Below are 20,061 nucleotides of genomic sequence, written 5' to 3' on the forward strand. Positions count from 1 at the left end.
TACGTTTTTAGGTTCGATTATTAAAACTTGAGACAGCGTCTCACTCTGTCACCGAGGCTGGAGTGCGGTGGTGTTATCAGAGCTCGCTGCAGCCTTGACCTCCTGGGCTCAAGTGCGCCTCCCACCTCAGCCTCCTGAGGAGCTGTGAGTATAGGTACATGCCACCATGCCCAGCTAATTTTTCGATGGTTTTTTGTTTGTTTTTTGTAGTGATGAGATTTTCTGATGTTGCTTAGGCTGGTCTCGAAGTCCTGAGCTCAGGTGATCTGGCCAGCTCAGCCTCCCAAAATACTAGGATTACAGGCGTGAGCCTTGGCCTGGTCTGGTTTTTCTTATATAGGGGTCTTATCTATATAAAGACTAAAGTTAATCTGTGCCTTTGTGCGGGTGGGCTAAGAGCATGATGACTTTTATCATTCTATTGATTTAAAGAAAACTGTCCTTGACTTACCAGTGTGTAAGTCCATGAAAGCATAATTCTGTTGAAAGCATATATTGTTAATGGGTGTTGGGAACCGTGCACTTTCCGCTGCTGTGGGAGCATGTCCTTGGAGGTACCTTTCATCTGTTTTCTCAACTCCAAACATCTTAGGACCATGGGTTGTGACTGGTAGGACTATGTATCTTGCTGCTTTCAAGACGGAGTATATTTTCACGTGGTGTCACTCTGGCTGTCCTGTTTCCCTAATACTGTCACTTCACCCTCTGCGATTCTGATGCTACAAATGATAGATATCGTTTTAGCATTTTCTTACGGGTCCTAGCGATTCTATTCATTTTTCTTTCAGTCTCTTTCTCTGACTTGTTCACATTGAACAATTTCCTTTTGGGATAGGTTGCTATTTCTGTTTTCGCAGGTGGTTTACCTGTCTTCCCAGCCAGTCACAGTGGTCCTTGTCCCCATGGTGGGTCCGGGGCAAGAGAGGGCCCTGGGTTGGGGGTGGGGTTCAGTTGAAGATGGGGTGAGTTTTGAGGGGAGCACTACTTGAGTCCCAGAGGCATAGGAAACAGCAGAGGGAGGTGGGATTCCCTTATCCTCAATGAGGATGGGCATGGAGGGTTTGGGGCGTGGCGCTGGGAACGGCAGCCCTCCCCAGCCCACAGCCGCGCATGCTCCCTGGGCTCCCGCCTCAGTGCGCATGTTCACTGGGCGTCTTCTGCCCGGCCCCTTCGCCCACGTGAAGAACGCCAGGGAGCTGTGAGGCAGTGCTGTGTGGTTCCTGCCGTCCGGACTCTTTTTCCTCTACTGAGATTCATCTGGTAGGTGTGCAGGCCAGTCATCCCGGGGGCTGAAGTGTGAGTGAGGGTGGAGAGGGCCTCGGGTGGGTCAAGCGGGTCCCGCTTCCTGGTCTGTGGCCTCCGAGGGAGAAGGGCCACGAGGTCGTCCTCCTTCCCTTCACAGGCTGCGAGGCCACCGGCGGCTTCGTGGTCGTGAAGGGGCCTGGACGGGGAGGAAGGTGGGCCGTGGAGGGGAGGCGGTCAGGGGCTCAGGTGAAGACGGGGTGAGTGCTGTTGGGGGGATGGAAGTCCCGAGGTGCCGGGATCCCCGACGACACAGGGCAGATTCCCTGAATGGGGCCCCCGGCGGGGGCGAGGCGGGCGGTGAAGAAGGGGCCTGGCACCTGGGAAGGCTGCGGCCTGGCGAGCGCCCCCTCAGCGGTGTGGAGTGCGGAGCGCCCGAGTGAGAAGCACTGCAAGGTCTCACCTCCGCCATGGAAGGTCCGAAAACAGTGGGAAGGAGTGGGCGAGGCAGTGCGGTCCAACCAAACTTGTTGTGAGGGGGGGTGAATGGCTCTAGGAAGTGGGAGTGTGCCCAAAGCAGCAATCACGAGAATTGTGATTCACTAGGGTTTTCGTGGGGAGTGCACTTGTGAAACTAAACCTCATCAGAAATGACCTCTGTCTGCGGGGCGCAGTGGCGCTCGCCTACGTATTCCCAGTTACTGGGGACACTGAGGTGGGAGGATCCCTTGAGCGGGAGGTCGAGGCTGCAGTGAGCTGTGATCACGCCGCTGCACTCCAGCCTGAGCAACACAGCGAGACCGCGTGTCCAAAAGAAATTTAGAAAAAAATGTCCTCTGCCTTTTGCCACACGCCTTAAGATGATTGCTCTGCCAGCCTGGCCAGCAGAAGTGGCTTTGTAGGCACTCAGACAGCGTACACACGTATGCTTAACTCTGGGACTTATTTTGAGAGTATTTTCAAAAGTAAAACGGCAAGTTAACATTTATCCATGGAAGTGATCGAATATAGCAGCCCTCTGGAGCGCACGTTCCCAATCACGGTTGTCTGTTTTCAGTGTGAAATATGAGTTGGCGAGGAAGATCGACCTATTATTGGCCTAGACCAAGGCGCTATGTACAGCCTCCTGAAATGATTGGGCCTATGCGGGTGAGTGCTTAAACGTTAATTCGATGTTTTCTATTAGTAGAAATTAATTTTTGTGATAGCGTCGTTGCATTAGTGTGGAAATGCTGATAAAGGTCTTTCCTGCTCATAAAAAATGAGGATGGCATCTCATGAAGGAAACATTGATTCTGGAGGATTTTTTTTTTCCTCTCGTGTTCTTCAGCTTTTGCCCATGACTTCTTTCTCCGGCTTTGTTTGTTAATGACAGATTGTACACATGTATTCCAACACAGAGTATAATAGCCCCCAAAGTCCTCGTGCGTCACTTTTCTCACAGTAACCTCCCTGTGGGTGGAGTAACCTTATTGGGCATAGAGCATAGAGTTGGAGAAATGTCTTTAGGCTTAGTTAGGACCAGAAATAGCTATGTATTCTGTGTATATATGTAAAATTTTGTATCAATAACGAAACTTATTTTCTATTTGCACACCCACACGTATTCCCCAGCCCGAGCAGTTCAGTGATGAAGTGGAACCAGCAACACCTGAAGAAGGGGAACCAGCAACTCAATGTCAGGATCCTGCAGCTGCTCAGGAGGGAGAGGATGAGGGAGCATCTGCAGGTCAAGGTGAGGGAAAGGGAAGAAGAACGTCTGCTGGTGTGTGCGTGTGTGTGTGTTCCTGTGTGTGTGTGCACGTGTGTGTGTGTTAGGCATTGTCACATAGGAGGAAGAGGAGGAAAGAAAACAATGGAAAGAATGCCTGAAATTGACTGGAAAAGCGAGGAGGCTATGTAGTTTGCAGCTTAGCTTAGGCAAATCCCTCACTATGATAAAAGTTCTCGACTTTATGAATGAGAGAATGGAGGTGCCAGGATTGTGTGTTATCCAAGAACCCTTGACTGGTGAATACAACATTTGTACTGTGTTCTAAGGTTTGTGTCTTCCTATCATGTATGTTGCTGGAAAGAAGGAAGTGATTTTGCTGAAAATGCTTAAAACTCAAAAGGCTTTACTGTAAGGTAGCTTAGTACTGACCCAAGAATAGACCCAGTTCAGAGGAGCAGGAGCAGCTCCAAAAACCGAGTCGCTGAATGTTGGCCCCCGTTTCCTTTGATTGATATTTTTATATGGTACGTTTGATAAAAGCTGGATAAATGAGGATACTGCCATACAGGTAGCTGGTTTAGTGATTTTTCTCAGCGGCCTTTAGGAGGTGATTAAATCCTTTTATGGTTAGAAAAGCAAAAACGGAATTATCCTGAGATTAACGTGAGATGGAAATAATTTCTCCCAGATAAAATGTTTTGAAAGGAAGCATTTATGTAACGGAGGTCATGGATTATTCCAGGGATGCACTGTTAAAAGTTCCTAGAATCTGACTGACAACAATGCCCATTAATTGCTGTCCGCCCACTCCCTTATTCTCAGTGCGGGGGACAGTATATTTTCTGTGATTCACAAACAATGTTATATTTGGTGCTTTGTTCTTCACGGGGTTCATTTATGGAATATTACCTTTAGGACCTTCGGACCTAAATATAACTTTATTTGAACAAAGTGAAGTTTCTCTTTACCCCAATAGGTAATGGGTGTCGTGACTGTAAGATTTCCATAGTCCTCAAATCCATCCAGCTAATCAATCCTTCAGAAACTGACATTGTAATTGTAACTGAAATCCTACCCACGTGGTAGACTTCAGATTTCTCAGCTGACGCACACTGCTGTTGGTACTCTAGGGCTGAATATAAGCATTATACATGTCCTGTGGTTTATCCTTAGATTGTCATTTAGGAGAAAGGTCTAAAGCTGGGCTGAATGCCATGCACTCATAGTCCCAGCTACTTGGGAGGCCGAGGTGAGAGGATTGCTTGAGTCCTGGAGTTCAAGCCCAGCCTGGGAAACACAGTGAGACCTCATTGCTAATAAATAAATAAATGAATAAATAAATAAACACATAAATAAATTCATTAAATAAATAAAGTTTTCATGGTATAGGAAAACACAGATGCAAAGTTTTTGTGCCTAGTGGCTGGTAATGTTGCAAACGTAACTCCTTAGTGAACTGTACCACTTAAAAATAGTTAAGATGGTAAATTTTAGGATATCTGTATTTTTTACCACAATTGGAAATTCCTTTCTTCCTAAAGTTCAGTGCAGTTATCATATATTCTTTTAAATTTTTACTGTATGTATCTTCAAGACATAACATTCATAGAAAATTTGCAAGAATAGTACAATGAACTCATATACTGTTCATCTGGATTCACCAATTGTTAGTAGCTTTCGCTTCATAGGTTTCACATCTCTTCCCTCCGTCTCTTACCGTGCTGCCCACACACTCACACACACACACACACACACACATACGGATATATGTTTACTGTTATTAATGGTGAATTGTCTCGATAAAGTTTCAGGGATTATGGTCCTTTACCCTATGTACTTGAGGGTGTGTATATCGTCAGAACAAAGAGAAAGTCATTTCTTGGATCATCACTGCACAAAGATAAAAATCAGGAAATTTAACAATGAGAAAATGGAGTCATTTAATACAGAGTGCATACTCAAATTTTGCCAGTTCCCCAGAAAATTTCTTTTTTCCTTTTTTTTTTCTTTGTTGAGACGGAGTCTCTCTCTGTGGGCCAGGTGGGAGTGCAGTAGTGCGATCTCGGCTCACTGCAACCTACACCTCCCAGGTTCTAGGGATTCTCATGCCTCAGCCTCCCGTGTAGCTGGGACTACAGGCGCCGGCCACTGCGGTCTTGAACTTCTGGCCTCACCTGCTCTGCCCACCTTGGCATCCCAAAATGTTTGGATTGCAGGCGTGAGACCCCACGCCCGGCCCAGATAATTTTATTGATAGGATTTCTTTTTCTGATCCAGAGTCCAGTTCAGAATCACACCTTGCATGTGCTTTTCAGGTGTTTTTAGTTTCCTTTAACCTGTAATGTTTCCTTAATTTTTCTTGTCATTCACGATACGGACATTTTTGGAGAGGATAGACCAGTTGGTTTGCAGAATATTCTGCAGTTTGGGCTTTTTCATGTATTTTTAAAAGAGTTTTCTCACTCAGCGTTTATTGGTGGCTACTCATGCCATGTAAGAGTCTAAGCGCTAGGAGTGTAAGTGCTGTGAGAGACGGGATTTGAGCCTTGAGTCATTTAATACGAGAAGGACAATCAGAAGTAGAATAAGAGAGAAGTGCAAAGGAGGCAGCAAAGTTGTCTGAGGGCAGTCTTCGGAAAGGAAGAGGGTATTATTTGGAACACCTTGTTTTCCTGTTTTCTGCTAATGGACTCCTGAAATAATGTTCCTGGGATTCTTATCAACACATTTAGTATTACGTTAGCTAAAGCTTTTATATAATAATACCGAGAGCATGAATATTATTTTCTTATTCATACTTTATGTTTTACTGCTTAAATTGATACGTATTTTTTATTTTTAAGGGCCGAAGCCTGAAGCTCATAGCCAGGAACAGGGTCACCCACAGACTGGGTGTGAGTGTGAAGATGGTCCTGATGGGCAGGAGATGGACCCGCCAAATCCAGAGGAGGTGAAAACGCCTGAAGAAGGTAGGCAATCCATTAGGCATGCACATTGTAGGGTGTCTGTTTCCACAGTATCATATTGTAATTGTTACTATGTTTTTGAGACGGAGTCTCGCTCTGAAGACCAGGCTGGAGTGCAGTGGTGCCATTTCGGCTCACTGGAAATTCTGTCTCCAGGGTTCAAGTGATTCTCCTGCCTGAGCCTCTGGCGGAGCCGGGCTTACAGGCATGCTCCGCCGCGCCCAGCTAATTGTTGTATTTTTAGTAGAGACAGGGTTTCGTTATGTTGCACAGGTTGTTCCCGAACTCCTGACCTCAGGTGATCCACCTGCCTCGACCATTGAAATTGCCGGGATTACAGGCGAGAGCCACCGTGCCCGACCCAGCATTATATTTTTAATAACGGAGAGGTAACAATACTGCCTCTTTAGTAACAGAGTTCTTATATAAAGGTTATTTGAAACGTAGTTCAGGCCCCAGCACCCGACTGATAGACTGTCAGGTAGGGAAACAAACTGAGTCAAAGCTATGTTGAATTAAAAGTTTTGAGTGTAAATCCTTAAACCAGTAGCTCACAATTTTCAGATGCTTTTGTAAAGGTCTGCTTTTAATCAATACATAACACGTTTGTAACACCCATCACTTGGTGTGAAAAATGCTGAAGCACTCATGCGGGTTCTAATACCAGCTCTTACAGCCTTGGCGAGATTCTGAGTGAGTCCTTTCCCTTCTAAACCTATCTTTGGTTCTTATGAAAATAGTGAGTTTAAGTCAGAGATTTTAAAACCATTTTGCATTCCGTTTCTTTCATACTCTGATCCTGTTGCATAGAATGCGTGGGACACAGAGATCATCTGCTTCGCATGGTTTGTTAATCACAAATCATGAAACCCTGGCCCGAGTCATCTGAAAATCTCTGAATTGAGATTTCATTGTCAGTAAGACAGTGAGCGGGCCCTCTGCTTCATCCTAGTTTTTCCGTGTGGAGAGCTGAATACGTAGTGTAAGATCTTGTGAAATTGTGAATTCTCCCTCTTCTTGGTTTGTTTGTTTGTTTGCGACAGAGTCTCAGTGTGTCACCCAGGCTGGAGTGCAGTGATGCAATTTCAGCTCACTGCAACTTCTGGCTCCCAGGCTAAAGCCGTCCTCCCACCTCAGCCTCCCGAGTGGCTGGAACTACATGCACAAGCCACCGTGCCTGACTACATTTTTTTGTTTTCATTTTTGTAGAGATGAGGTCTCACTGTGTTGCCCAGGCAGGGTTTCTCTGGCTTTTAATGAACAATTGCTTCTTTTTTTTTCTTTTATTTATTTATTTATTTATTTATTTATTTATTTATTTATCATTATACTTTAAGTTTTAGGGTACATGTGCACGTTGTGCAGGTTAGTTACATATGTATACATGTGCCATGCTGGTGCGCTGCACCCACTATCTCATCATCTAGCATTAGGTACATCTCCCAGTGCTATCCCTCCCCCCTCCCCCCACCCGACAACAGTCCCCAGGGTGTGATATTCCCCTTCCTCTGTCCATGTGATCTCATTGTTCAGTTCCCACCTATGAGTGAGAATATGCGGTGTTTGGTTTTTTGTTCTTGCAATAGTTTACTGAGAATGATGATTTCCAGTTTCATCCATGTCCCTACAAAGGACATGAACTCATCATTTTTTAGGGCTGCATAGTATTCCATGGTGTATATGTGCCACATTTTCTTAATCCAGTCTATCGTTGTTGGACATTTGGGTTGGTTCCAAGTCTTTGCTATCGTGAATAATGCCGCAATAAACATACGTGTGCATGTGTCTTTATAGCAGCATGATTTATAGTCCTTTGGGTATATACCCAGTAATGGGATGGCTGGGTCAAATGGTACAATTGCTTCTTAAAACTTTCCCCACGGAAACCTTGAGTGACTGAAATAAATATCAAATGGCGAGAGACCGTTTAGTTCGTATCATCTGTGGCATGTAGGTCAGTGATGCTCAGCATGGGTGTGAGTAAGATGCCTGTGCTATGCATGCTCCCTGCCCCACTGTCAGTCTTCATGAGCCACTATTTCTAATAAGACTGTAGACACACATACGATATAATCATCTCTAATCATATCAAATGTTACATGTAAGTTTCACCTTTAGAGACATGAATTGATAAGATTTGAAGTTGAAAGACCATGACTCTAGTACTTCCTGAGTAATCAACTGAAGTATGCTTTACACATGTGTTTTCCAAATTGCTGACTGTTAATTGTAAGTGCTTGTGACTTGAAAGGAAGCACTTGATGTTCAGGGAGGAAATTCCTTTTAAATTCTGCAGGTCTACGCTCAAAGTTTATGCAGAGGTTCAATTGCGTGTAAGACACGGGATCACCCATAGGGTTCTGTTTTTAGTCCATTTAATAAAACCCAAACTGTAGTGTGCTTTGTATGCCTTTAGGGTCATCTGAATAATCTGTTGCTAAGTCATGTTCCCAATCGTTGTGTTTCTGTTACAGGTGAAAAGCAATCACAGTGTTAAAAGAAGACACGTTGAAATGATGCAGGCTGCTCCTATGTTGGAAATTTGTTCATTAAAATTCTCCCAATAAAGCTTTACAGCCTTCTGCAAAGAAGTCTTGCGCATCTTTTGTGAAGTTTATTTCTAGCTTTTTGATGCTGTGAAATATGTATCATTCTTTGAAATCGTGTATTGTAACTCTCTGAGCTGGTATGTAGAGACATCGTTCTTTTTTTTTTCTTTCTTTCTTTGTCCTCTTTTGAGACGGAGTCTTGCTCTGTCGCCCAGGCTGGAGTGCAGTGGCGCGATCTCTGCTCACTGCAACCCCGCCTCCCGGATTCAAGCAATTGTCTGCCTCAGCCTCCCGAGTAGCTGGGATTATAGGCACCCACCAGCACGCCTGGCTAAGTTTTGTGTTTTTACTAGAGATGGGCTTTCGCCATCTTGGCCGGGGTGCTCTTGAACTCCTGACCTCGTGATTCACCTGCCTTGGCCTCCCAAAGTGCTGGGATTACAGGCATGAGCCTCCGCGCCCGGTGGAGACATAATTCTTACATATTGGTTTTCTATCCAGCGGCCTTGTGAAATATGCTTGTGAATTCTAAAGTTTACTTCTAGGTCGTTTTCAGTCTTCAATATACAGAAACATATCATCCTGGAATAAGAGCAGTTTTGTTTCCGCCATATTTTTTTCTTTTCCCTTTTGTATTTTTTTGTAGAGACGGGGTTTTGCCATGTTTCCCGGGCTGTTGTTGAACTTTTGAGTGCAAGTGATGCACCCACCTCACCTCCCACAGTGCTGGGATTACTGGCGTGGGCCACCGTGGCGGGCCCGTCGTTGCCATTGTAAAGAGTTTTATTTCCTTTTCTGATTTTATGGCATTGCGCAGACCCACCCGTTACAATGGTGACAGTGGACATCCTTGTCTTATCCCTGATGAGAAACCGAAAAATTTCAACATTTCACCATCCTATTCACTCTCCTTTTTTTGTAGACGGACTTTATCAGAGTGAGTCATTGCATTCTGTTCCAAATTTGCTGAGAGTATTCATTTGAATATATGTTGATTTTCATCAAACAGTGCATCTATTTCGATTACCACAGCGTTTTTTCCCATTCATGTGTTAATATAGTGAATTCGATTGATAAATTTGTACGTTTTTAGGTTCGATTATTAAAACTTGAGACAGCGTCTCACTCTGTCACCGAGGCTGGAGTGCGGTGGTGTTATCAGAGCTCGCTGCAGCCTTGACCTCCTGGGCTCAAGCGCGCCTCCCACCTCAGCCTCCTGAGGAGCTGTGAGTATAGGTACATGCCACCATGCCCAGCTAATTTTTCGATGGTTTTTTGTTTGTTTTTTGTAGTGATGAGATTTTCTGATGTTGCTTAGGCTGGTCTCGAAGTCCTGAGCTCAGGTGATCTGGCCAGCTCAGCCTCCCAAAATACTAGGATTACAGGCGTGAGCCTTGGCCTGGTCTGGTTTTTCTTATATAGGGGTCTTATCTATATAAAGACTAAAGTTAATCTGTGCCTTTGTGCGGGTGGGCTAAGAGCATGATGACTTTTATCATTCTATTGATTTAAAGAAAACTGTCCTTGACTTACCAGTGTGTAAGTCCATGAAAGCATAATTCTGTTGAAAGCATATATTGTTAATGGGTGTTGGGAACCGTGCACTTTCCGCTGCTGTGGGAGCATGTCCTTGGAGGTACCTTTCATCTGTTTTCTCAACTCCAAACATCTTAGGACCATGGGTTGTGACTGGTAGGACTATGTATCTTGCTGCTTTCAAGACGGAGTATATTTTCACGTGGTGTCACTCTGGCTGTCCTGTTTCCCTAATACTGTCACTTCACCCTCTGCGATTCTGATGCTACAAATGATAGATATCGTTTTAGCATTTTCTTACGGGTCCTAGCGATTCTATTCATTTTTCTTTCAGTCTCTTTCTCTGACTTGTTCACATTGAACAATTTCCTTTTGGGATAGGTTGCTATTTCTGTTTTCGCAGGTGGTTTACCTGTCTTCCCAGCCAGTCACAGTGGTCCTTGTCCCCATGGTGGGTCCGGGGCAAGAGAGGGCCCTGGGTTGGGGGTGGGGTTCAGTTGAAGATGGGGTGAGTTTTGAGGGGAGCACTACTTGAGTCCCAGAGGCATAGGAAACAGCAGAGGGAGGTGGGATTCCCTTATCCTCAATGAGGATGGGCATGGAGGGTTTGGGGCGTGGCGCTGGGAACGGCAGCCCTCCCCAGCCCACAGCCGCGCATGCTCCCTGGGCTCCCGCCTCAGTGCGCATGTTCACTGGGCGTCTTCTGCCCGGCCCCTTCGCCCACGTGAAGAACGCCAGGGAGCTGTGAGGCAGTGCTGTGTGGTTCCTGCCGTCCGGACTCTTTTTCCTCTACTGAGATTCATCTGGTAGGTGTGCAGGCCAGTCATCCCGGGGGCTGAAGTGTGAGTGAGGGTGGAGAGGGCCTCGGGTGGGTCAGGCGGGTCCCGCTTCCTGGTCTGTGGCCTCCGAGGGAGAAGGGCCACGAGGTCGTCCTCCTTCCCTTCACAGGCTGCGAGGCCACCGGCGGCTTCGTGGTCGTGAAGGGGCCTGGACGGGGAGGAAGGTGGGCCGTGGAGGGGAGGCGGTCAGGGGCTCAGGTGAAGACGGGGTGAGTGCTGTTGGGGGGATGGAAGTCCCGAGGTGCCGGGATCCCCGACGACACAGGGCAGATTCCCTGAATGGGGCCCCCGGCGGGGGCGAGGCGGGCGGTGAAGAAGGGGCCTGGCACCTGGGAAGGCTGCGGCCTGGCGAGCGCCCCCTCAGCGGTGTGGAGTGCGGAGCGCCCGAGTGAGAAGCACTGCAAGGTCTCACCTCCGCCATGGAAGGTCCGAAAACAGTGGGAAGGAGTGGGCGAGGCAGTGCGGTCCAACCAAACTTGTTGTGAGTGGGGGTGAATGGCTCTAGGAAGTGGGAGTGTGCCCAAAGCAGCAATCACGAGAATTGTGATTCACTAGGGTTTTCGTGGGGAGTGCACTTGTGAAACTAAACCTCATCAGAAATGACCTCTGTCTGCGGGGCGCAGTGGCGCTCGCCTACGTATTCCCAGTTACTGGGGACACTGAGGTGGGAGGATCCCTTGAGCGGGAGGTCGAGGCTGCAGTGAGCTGTGATCACGCCGCTGCACTCCAGCCTGAGCAACACAGCGAGACCGCGTGTCCAAAAGAAATTTAGAAAAAAATGTCCTCTGCCTTTTGCCACACGCCTTAAGATGATTGCTCTGCCAGCCTGGCCAGCAGAAGTGGCTTTGTAGGCACTCAGACAGCGTACACACGTATGCTTAACTCTGGGACTTATTTTGAGAGTATTTTCAAAAGTAAAACGGCAAGTTAACATTTATCCATGGAAGTGATCGAATATAGCAGCCCTCTGGAGCGCACGTTCCCAATCACGGTTGTCTGTTTTCAGTGTGAAATATGAGTTGGCGAGGAAGATCGACCTATTATTGGCCTAGACCAAGGCGCTATGTACAGCCTCCTGAAATGATTGGGCCTATGCGGGTGAGTGCTTAAACGTTAATTCGATGTTTTCTATTAGTAGAAATTAATTTTTGTGATAGCGTCGTTGCATTAGTGTGGAAATGCTGATAAAGGTCTTTCCTGCTCATAAAAAATGAGGATGGCATCTCATGAAGGAAACATTGATTCTGGAGGATTTTTTTTTTCCTCTCGTGTTCTTCAGCTTTTGCCCATGACTTCTTTCTCCGGCTTTGTTTGTTAATGACAGATTGTACACATGTATTCCAACACAGAGTATAATAGCCCCCAAAGTCCTCGTGCGTCACTTTTCTCACAGTAACCTCCCTGTGGGTGGAGTAACCTTATTGGGCATAGAGCATAGAGTTGGAGAAATGTCTTTAGGCTTAGTTAGGACCAGAAATAGCTATGTATTCTGTGTATATATGTAAAATTTTGTATCAATAACGAAACTTATTTTTTATTTGCACACCCACACGTATTCCCCAGCCCGAGCAGTTCAGTGATGAAGTGGAACCAGCAACACCTGAAGAAGGGGAACCAGCAACTCAACGTCAGGATCCTGCAGCTGCTCAGGAGGGAGAGGATGAGGGAGCATCTGCAGGTCAAGGTGAGGGAAAGGGAAGAAGAACGTCTGCTGGTGTGTGCGTGTGTGTGTGTTCGTGTGTGTGTGTGTGCACGTGTGTGTGTGTGTGTTAGGCATTGTCACATAGGAGGAAGAGGAGGAAAGAAAACAATGGAAAGAATGCCTGAAATTGACTGGAAAAGCGAGGAGGCTATGTAGTTCGCAGCTTAGCTTAGGCAAATCCCTCACTATGGTAAAAGATCTCGACTTTATGAATGAGAGAATGGAGGTGCCAGGATTGTGTGTTATCCAAGAACCCTTGACTGGTGAATACAACATTTGTACTGTGTTCCAAGGTTTGTGTCTTCCTATCATGTATGTTGCTGTAAAGAAGGAAGTGATTTTGCTGAAAATGCTTAAAACTCAAAAGGCTTTACTGTAAGGTAGCTTAGTACTGACCCAAGAATAGACCCAGTTCAGAGGAGCAGGAGCAGCTCCAAAAACCGAGTCGCTGAATGTTGGCCCCCGTTTCCTTTGATTGATATTTTTATATGGTACGTTTGATAAAAGCTGGATAAATGAGGATACTGCCATACAGGTAGCTGGTTTAGTGATTTTTCTCAGCGGCCTTTAGGAGGTGATTAAATCCTTTTATGGTTAGAAAAGCAAAAACGGAATTATCCTGAGATTAACGTGAGATGGAAATAATTTCTCCGAGATAAAATGTTTTGAAAGGAAGCATTTATGTAACGGAGGTCATGGATTATTCCAGGGATGCACTGTTAAAAGTTCCTAGAATCTGACTGACAACAATGCCCATTAATTGCTGTCCGCCCACTCCCTTATTCTCAGTGCGGGGGACAGTATATTTTCTGTGATTCACAAACAATGTTATATTTGGTGCTTTGTTCTTCACGGGGTTCATTTATGGAATATTACCTTTAGGACCTTCGGACCTAAATATAACTTTATTTGAACAAAGTGAAGTTTCTCTTTACCCCAATAGGTAATGGGTGTCGTGACTGTAAGATTTCCATAGTCCTCAAATCCATCCAGCTAATCAATCCTTCAGAAACTGACATTGTAATTGTAACTGAAATCCTACCCACGTGGTAGACTTCAGATTTCTCAGCTGACGCACACTGCTGTTGGTACTCTAGGGCTGAATATAAGCATTATACATGTCCTGTGGTTTATCCTTAGATTGTCATTTAGGAGAAAGGTCTAAAGCTGGGCTGAATGCCATGCACTCATAGTCCCAGCTACTTGGGAGGCCGAGGTGAGAGGATTGCTTGAGTCCTGGAGTTCAAGCCCAGCCTGGGAAACACAGTGAGACCTCATTGCTAATAAATAAATAAATGAATAAATAAATAAACACATAAATAAATTCATTAAATAAATAAAGTTTTCATGGTATAGGAAAACACAGATGCAAAGTTTTTGTGCCTAGTGGCTGGTAATGTTGCAAACGTAACTCCTTAGTGAACTGTACCACTTAAAAATAGTTAAGATGGTAAATTTTAGGATATCTGTATTTTTTACCACAATTGGAAATTCCTTTCTTCCTAAAGTTCAGTGCAGTTATCATATATTCTTTTAAATTTTTACTGTATGTATCTTCAAGACATAACATTCATAGAAAATTTGCAAGAATAGTACAATGAACTCATATACTGTTCATCTGGATTCACCAATTGTTAGTAGCTTTCGCTTCATAGGTTTCACATCTCTTCCCTCCGTCTCTTACCGTGCTGCCCACACACTCACACACACACACACACACACACATACGGATATATGTTTACTGTTATTAATGGTGAATTGTCTCGATAAAGTTTCAGGGATTATGGTCCTTTACCCTATGTACTTGAGGGTGTGTATATCGTCAGAACAAAGAGAAAGTCATTTCTTGGATCATCACTGCACAAAGATAAAAATCAGGAAATTTAACAATGAGAAAATGGAGTCATTTAATACAGAGTGCATACTCAAATTTTGCCAGTTCCCCAGAAAATTTCTTTTTTCCTTTTTTTTTTCTTTGTTGAGACGGAGTCTCTCTCTGTGGGCCAGGTGGGAGTGCAGTAGTGCGATCTCGGCTCACTGCAACCTACACCTCCCAGGTTCTAGGGATTCTCATGCCTCAGCCTCCCGTGTAGCTGGGACTACAGGCGCCGGCCACTGCGGTCTTGAACTTCTGGCCTCACCTGCTCTGCCCACCTTGGCATCCCAAAATGTTTGGATTGCAGGCGTGAGACCCCACGCCCGGCCCAGATAATTTTATTGATAGGATTTCTTTTTCTGATCCAGAGTCCAGTTCAGAATCACACCTTGCATGTGCTTTTCAGGTGTTTTTAGTTTCCTTTAACCTGTAATGTTTCCTTAATTTTTCTTGTCATTCACGATACGGACATTTTTGGAGAGGATAGACCAGTTGGTTTGCAGAATATTCTGCAGTTTGGGCTTTTTCATGTATTTTTAAAAGAGTTTTCTCACTCAGCGTTTATTGGTGGCTACTCATGCCATGTAAGAGTCTAAGCGCTAGGAGTGTAAGTGCTGTGAGAGACGGGATTTGAGCCTTGAGTCATTTAATACGAGAAGGACAATCAGAAGTAGAATAAGAGAGAAGTGCAAAGGAGGCAGCAAAGTTGTCTGAGGGCAGTCTTCGGAAAGGAAGAGGGTATTATTTGGAACACCTTGTTTTCCTGTTTTCTGCTAATGGACTCCTGAAATAATGTTCCTGGGATTCTTATCAACACATTTATTATTACGTTAGCTAAAGCTTTTATATAATAATACCGAGAGCATGAATATTATTTTCTTATTCATACTTTATGTTTTACTGCTTAAATTGATACGTATTTTTTATTTTTAAGGGCCGAAGCCTGAAGCTCATAGCCAGGAACAGGGTCACCCACAGACTGGGTGTGAGTGTGAAGATGGTCCTGATGGGCAGGAGATGGACCCGCCAAATCCAGAGGAGGTGAAAACGCCTGAAGAAGGTAGGCAATCCATTAGGCATGCACATTGTAGGGTGTCTGTTTCCACAGTATCATATTGTAATTGTTACTATGTTTTTGAGACGGAGTCTCGCTCTGAAGACCAGGCTGGAGTGCAGTGGTGCCATTTCGGCTCACTGGAAATTCTGTCTCCAGGGTTCAAGTGATTCTCCTGCCTGAGCCTCTGGCGGAGCCGGGCTTACAGGCATGCTCCGCCGCGCCCAGCTAATTGTTGTATTTTTAGTAGAGACAGGGTTTCGTTATGTTGCACAGGTTGTTCCCGAACTCCTGACCTCAGGTGATCCACCTGCCTCGACCATTGAAATTGCCGGGATTACAGGCGAGAGCCACCGTGCCCGACCCAGCATTATATTTTTAATAACGGAGAGGTAACAATACTGCCTCTTTAGTAACAGAGTTCTTATATAAAGGTTATTTGAAACGTAGTTCAGGCCCCAGCACCCGACTGATAGACTGTCAGGTAGGGAAACAAACTGAGTCAAAGCTATGTTGAATTAAAAGTTTTGAGTGTAAATCCTTAAACCAGTAGCTCACAATTTTCAGATGCTTTTGTAAAGGTCTGCTTTTAATCAATACATAACACGTTTGTAACACCCATCACTTGGTGTGAAAAATGCTGAAGCACTCATGCGGGTTCTAATACCAGCTCTTACAGCCTTGGCGAGATTCTGAGTGAGTCCTTTCCCTTCTAAACCTATCTTTGGTTCTTATGAAAATAGTGAGTTTAAGTCAGAGATTTTAAAACCATTTTGCATTCCGTTTCTTTCATACTCTGATCCTGTTGCATAGAATGCGTGGGACACAGAGATCATCTGCTTCGCATGGTTTGTTAATCACAAATCATGAAACCCTGGCCCGAGTCATCTGAAAATCTCTGAATTGAGATTTCATTGTCAGTAAGACAGTGAGCGGGCCCTCTGCTTCATCCTAGTTTTTCCGTGTGGAGAGCTGAATACGTAGTGTAAGATCTTGTGAAATTGTGAATTCTCCCTCTTCTTGGTTTGTTTGTTTGCGACAGAGTCTCAGTGTGTCACCCAGGCTGGAGTGCAGTGATGCAATTTCAGCTCACTGCAACTTCTGGCTCCCAGGCTAAAGCCGTCCTCCCACCTCAGCCTCCCGAGTGGCTGGAACTACATGCACAAGCCACCGTGCCTGACTACATTTTTTTGTTTTCATTTTTGTAGAGATGAGGTCTCACTGTGTTGCCCAGGCAGGGTTTCTCTGGCTTTTAATGAACAATTGCTTCTTTTTTTTTCTTTTATTTATTTATTTATTTATTTATTTATTTATTTATTTATTTATCATTATACTTTAAGTTTTAGGGTACATGTGCACGTTGTGCAGGTTAGTTACATATGTATACATGTGCCATGCTGGTGCGCTGCACCCACTATCTCATCATCTAGCATTAGGTACATCTCCCAGTGCTATCCCTCCCCCCTCCCCCCACCCGACAGCAGTCCCCAGGGTGTGATATTCCCCTTCCTCTGTCCATGTGATCTCATTGTTCAGTTCCCACCTATGAGTGAGAATATGCGGTGTTTGGTTTTTTGTTCTTGCAATAGTTTACTGAGAATGATGATTTCCAGTTTCATCCATGTCCCTACAAAGGACATGAACTCATCATTTTTTAGGGCTGCATAGTATTCCATGGTGTATATGTGCCACATTTTCTTAATCCAGTCTATCGTTGTTGGACATTTGGGTTGGTTCCAAGTCTTTGCTATCGTGAATAATGCCGCAATAAACATACGTGTGCATGTGTCTTTATAGCAGCATGATTTATAGTCCTTTGGGTATATACCCAGTAATGGGATGGCTGGGTCAAATGGTACAATTGCTTCTTAAAACTTTCCCCACGGAAACCTTGAGTGACTGAAATAAATATCAAATGGCGAGAGACCGTTTAGTTCGTATCATCTGTGGCATGTAGGTCAGTGATGCTCAGCATGGGTGTGAGTAAGATGCCTGTGCTATGCATGCTCCCTGCCCCACTGTCAGTCTTCATGAGCCACTATTTCTAATAAGACTGTAGACACACATACGATATAATCATCTCTAATCATATCAAATGTTACATGTAAGTTTCACCTTTAGAGACATGAATTGATAAGATTTGAAGTTGAAAGACCATGACTCTAGTACTTCCTGAGTAATCAACTGAAGTATGCTTTACACATGTGTTTTCCAAATTGCTGACTGTTAATTGTAAGTGCTTGTGACTTGAAAGGAAGCACTTGATGTTCAGGGAGGAAATTCCTTTTAAATTCTGCAGGTCTACGCTCAAAGTTAATGCAGAGGTTCAATTGCGTGTAAGACACGGGATCTCCCATAGGGTTCTGTTTTTAGTCCATTTAATAAAACCCAAACTGTAGTGTGCTTTGTATGCCTTTAGGGTCATCTGAATAATCTGTTGCTAAGTCATGTTCCCAATCGTTGTGTTTCTGTTACAGGTGAAAAGCAATCACAGTGTTAAAAGAAGACACGTTGAAATGATGCAGGCTGCTCCTATGTTGGAAATTTGTTCATTAAAATTCTCCCAATAAAGCTTTACAGCCTTCTGCAAAGAAGTCTTGCGCATCTTTTGTGAAGTTTATTTCTAGCTTTTTGATGCTGTGAAATATGTATCATTCTTTGAAATCGTGTATTGTAACTCTCTGAGCTGGTATGTAGAGACATCGTTCTTTTTTTTTCTTTTTTTCTTTGTCCTCTTTTGAGACGGAGTCTTGCTCTGTCGCCCAGGCTGGAGTGCAGTGGCGCGATCTCTGCTCACTGCAACCCCGCCTCCCGGATTCAAGCAATTGTCTGCCTCAGCCTCCCGAGTAGCTGGGATTATAGGCACCCACCAGCACGCCTGGCTAAGTTTTGTGTTTTTACTAGAGATGGGCTTTCGCCATCTTGGCCGGGGTGCTCTTGAACTCCTGACCTCGTGATTCACCTGCCTTGGCCTCCCAAAGTGCTGGGATTACAGGCATGAGCCTCCGTGCCCGGTGGAGACATAATTCTTACATATTGGTTTTCTATCCAGCGGCCTTGTGAAATATGCTTGTGAATTCTAAAGTTTACTTCTAGGTCGTTTTCAGTCTTCAATATACAGAAACATATCATCCTGGAATAAGAGCAGTTTTGTTTCCGCCATATTTTTTTCTTTTCCCTTTTGTATTTTTTTGTAGAGACGGGGTTTTGCCATGTTTCCCGGGCTGTTGTTGAACTTTTGAGTGCAAGTGATGCACCCACCTCACCTCCCACAGTGCTGGGATTACTGGCGTGGGCCACCGTGGCGGGCCCGTCATTGCCATTGTAAAGAGTTTTATTTCCTTTTCTGATTTTATGGCATTGCGCAGACCCACCCGTTACAATGGTGACAGTGGACATCCTTGTCTTATCCCTGATGAGAAACCGAAAAATTTCAACATTTCACCATCCTATTCACTCTCCTTTTTTTGTAGACGGACTTTATCAGAGTGAGTCATTGCATTCTGTTCCAAATTTGCTGAGAGTATTCATTTGAATATATGTTGATTTTCATCAAACAGTGCATCTATTTCGATTACCACAGCGTTTTTTCCCATTCATGTGTTAATATAGTGAATTCGATTGATAAATTTGTACGTTTTTAGGTTCGATTATTAAAACTTGAGACAGCGTCTCACTCTGTCACCGAGGCTGGAGTGCGGTGGTGTTATCAGAGCTCGCTGCAGCCTTGACCTGCTGGGCTCAAGCGCGCCTCCCACCTCAGCCTCCTGAGGAGCTGTGAGTATAGGTACATGCCACCATGCCCAGCTAATTTTTCGATGGTTTTTTGTTTGTTTTTTGTAGTGATGAGATTTTCTGATGTTGCTTAGGCTGGTCTCGAAGTCCTGAGCTCAGGTGATCTGGCCAGCTCAGCCTCCCAAAATACTAGGATTACAGGCGTGAGCCTTGGCCTGGTCTGGTTTTTCTTATATAGGGGTCTTATCTATATAAAGACTAAAGTTAATCTGTGCCTTTGTGCGGGTGGGCTAAGAGCATGATGACTTTTATCATTCTATTGATTTAAAGAAAACTGTCCTTGACTTACCAGTGTGTAAGTCCATGAAAGCATAATTCTGTTGAAAGCATATATTGTTAATGGGTGTTGGGAACCGTGCACTTTCCGCTGCTGTGGGAGCATGTCCTTGGAGGTACCTTTCATCTGTTTTCTCAACTCCAAACATCTTAGGACCATGGGTTGTGACTGGTAGGACTATGTATCTTGCTGCTTTCAAGACGGAGTATATTTTCACGTGGTGTCACTCTGGCTGTCCTGTTTCCCTAATACTGTCACTTCACCCTCTGCGATTCTGATGCTACAAATGATAGATATCGTTTTAGCATTTTCTTACGGGTCCTAGCGATTCTATTCATTTTTCTTTCAGTCTCTTTCTCTGACTTGTTCACATTGAACAATTTCCTTTTGGGATAGGTTGCTATTTCTGTTTTCGCAGGTGGTTTACCTGTCTTCCCAGCCAGTCACAGTGGTCCTTGTCCCCATGGTGGGTCCGGGGCAAGAGAGGGCCCTGGGTTGGGGGTGGGGTTCA

The 20,061-nt window shown here is 44.8% G+C and overlaps 2 protein-coding genes across 2 annotated transcripts; both read left to right on the forward strand.

Moving 5' to 3' along the window:
• The first annotated feature begins 1,152 nt into the window (after positions 1 to 1,152).
• Positions 1,153 to 8,509, forward strand: GAGE12E (G antigen 12E). Its single transcript, NM_001098418.3, has 5 exons — positions 1,153 to 1,260; positions 2,300 to 2,391; positions 2,857 to 2,977; positions 5,800 to 5,925; positions 8,397 to 8,509. Exons 2-5 carry the CDS (start codon positions 2,308 to 2,310, stop codon positions 8,417 to 8,419), a joined length of 354 nt encoding a protein of 117 aa, NP_001091888.1. The 5' UTR covers positions 1,153 to 1,260; positions 2,300 to 2,307; the 3' UTR covers positions 8,420 to 8,509.
• Positions 8,510 to 10,705: 2,196 nt separating this feature from the next.
• On the forward strand, positions 10,706 to 18,069 carry GAGE12F (G antigen 12F). Its single transcript, NM_001098405.3, has 5 exons — positions 10,706 to 10,813; positions 11,853 to 11,944; positions 12,410 to 12,530; positions 15,359 to 15,484; positions 17,956 to 18,069. Exons 2-5 carry the CDS (start codon positions 11,861 to 11,863, stop codon positions 17,976 to 17,978), a joined length of 354 nt encoding a protein of 117 aa, NP_001091875.1. The 5' UTR covers positions 10,706 to 10,813; positions 11,853 to 11,860; the 3' UTR covers positions 17,979 to 18,069.
• Positions 18,070 to 20,061: the final 1,992 nt, after the last annotated feature.

This window comes from Homo sapiens, chromosome X (genome assembly GCF_000001405.40).
Source record: "Homo sapiens chromosome X, GRCh38.p14 Primary Assembly".
Classification (NCBI taxonomy): Eukaryota; Metazoa; Chordata; class Mammalia; order Primates; family Hominidae; genus Homo; species Homo sapiens.

Coding starts and splice junctions, on each gene's coding strand:
- GAGE12E (NM_001098418.3), top strand. CDS start 2,308: ATGAGTTGGCGAGGAAGATCGACCTATTATTGGCCTAGACCAAGGCGC. Junction 2,392..2,856: donor AAATGATTGGGCCTATGCGG/GTGAGTGCTTAA, acceptor CGTATTCCCCAG/CCCGAGCAGTTCAGTGATGA. Junction 2,978..5,799: donor GGGAGCATCTGCAGGTCAAG/GTGAGGGAAAGG, acceptor TTTATTTTTAAG/GGCCGAAGCCTGAAGCTCAT.
- GAGE12F (NM_001098405.3), top strand. CDS start 11,861: ATGAGTTGGCGAGGAAGATCGACCTATTATTGGCCTAGACCAAGGCGC. Junction 11,945..12,409: donor AAATGATTGGGCCTATGCGG/GTGAGTGCTTAA, acceptor CGTATTCCCCAG/CCCGAGCAGTTCAGTGATGA. Junction 15,485..17,955: donor GGTGAAAACGCCTGAAGAAG/GTAGGCAATCCA, acceptor TTTCTGTTACAG/GTGAAAAGCAATCACAGTGT.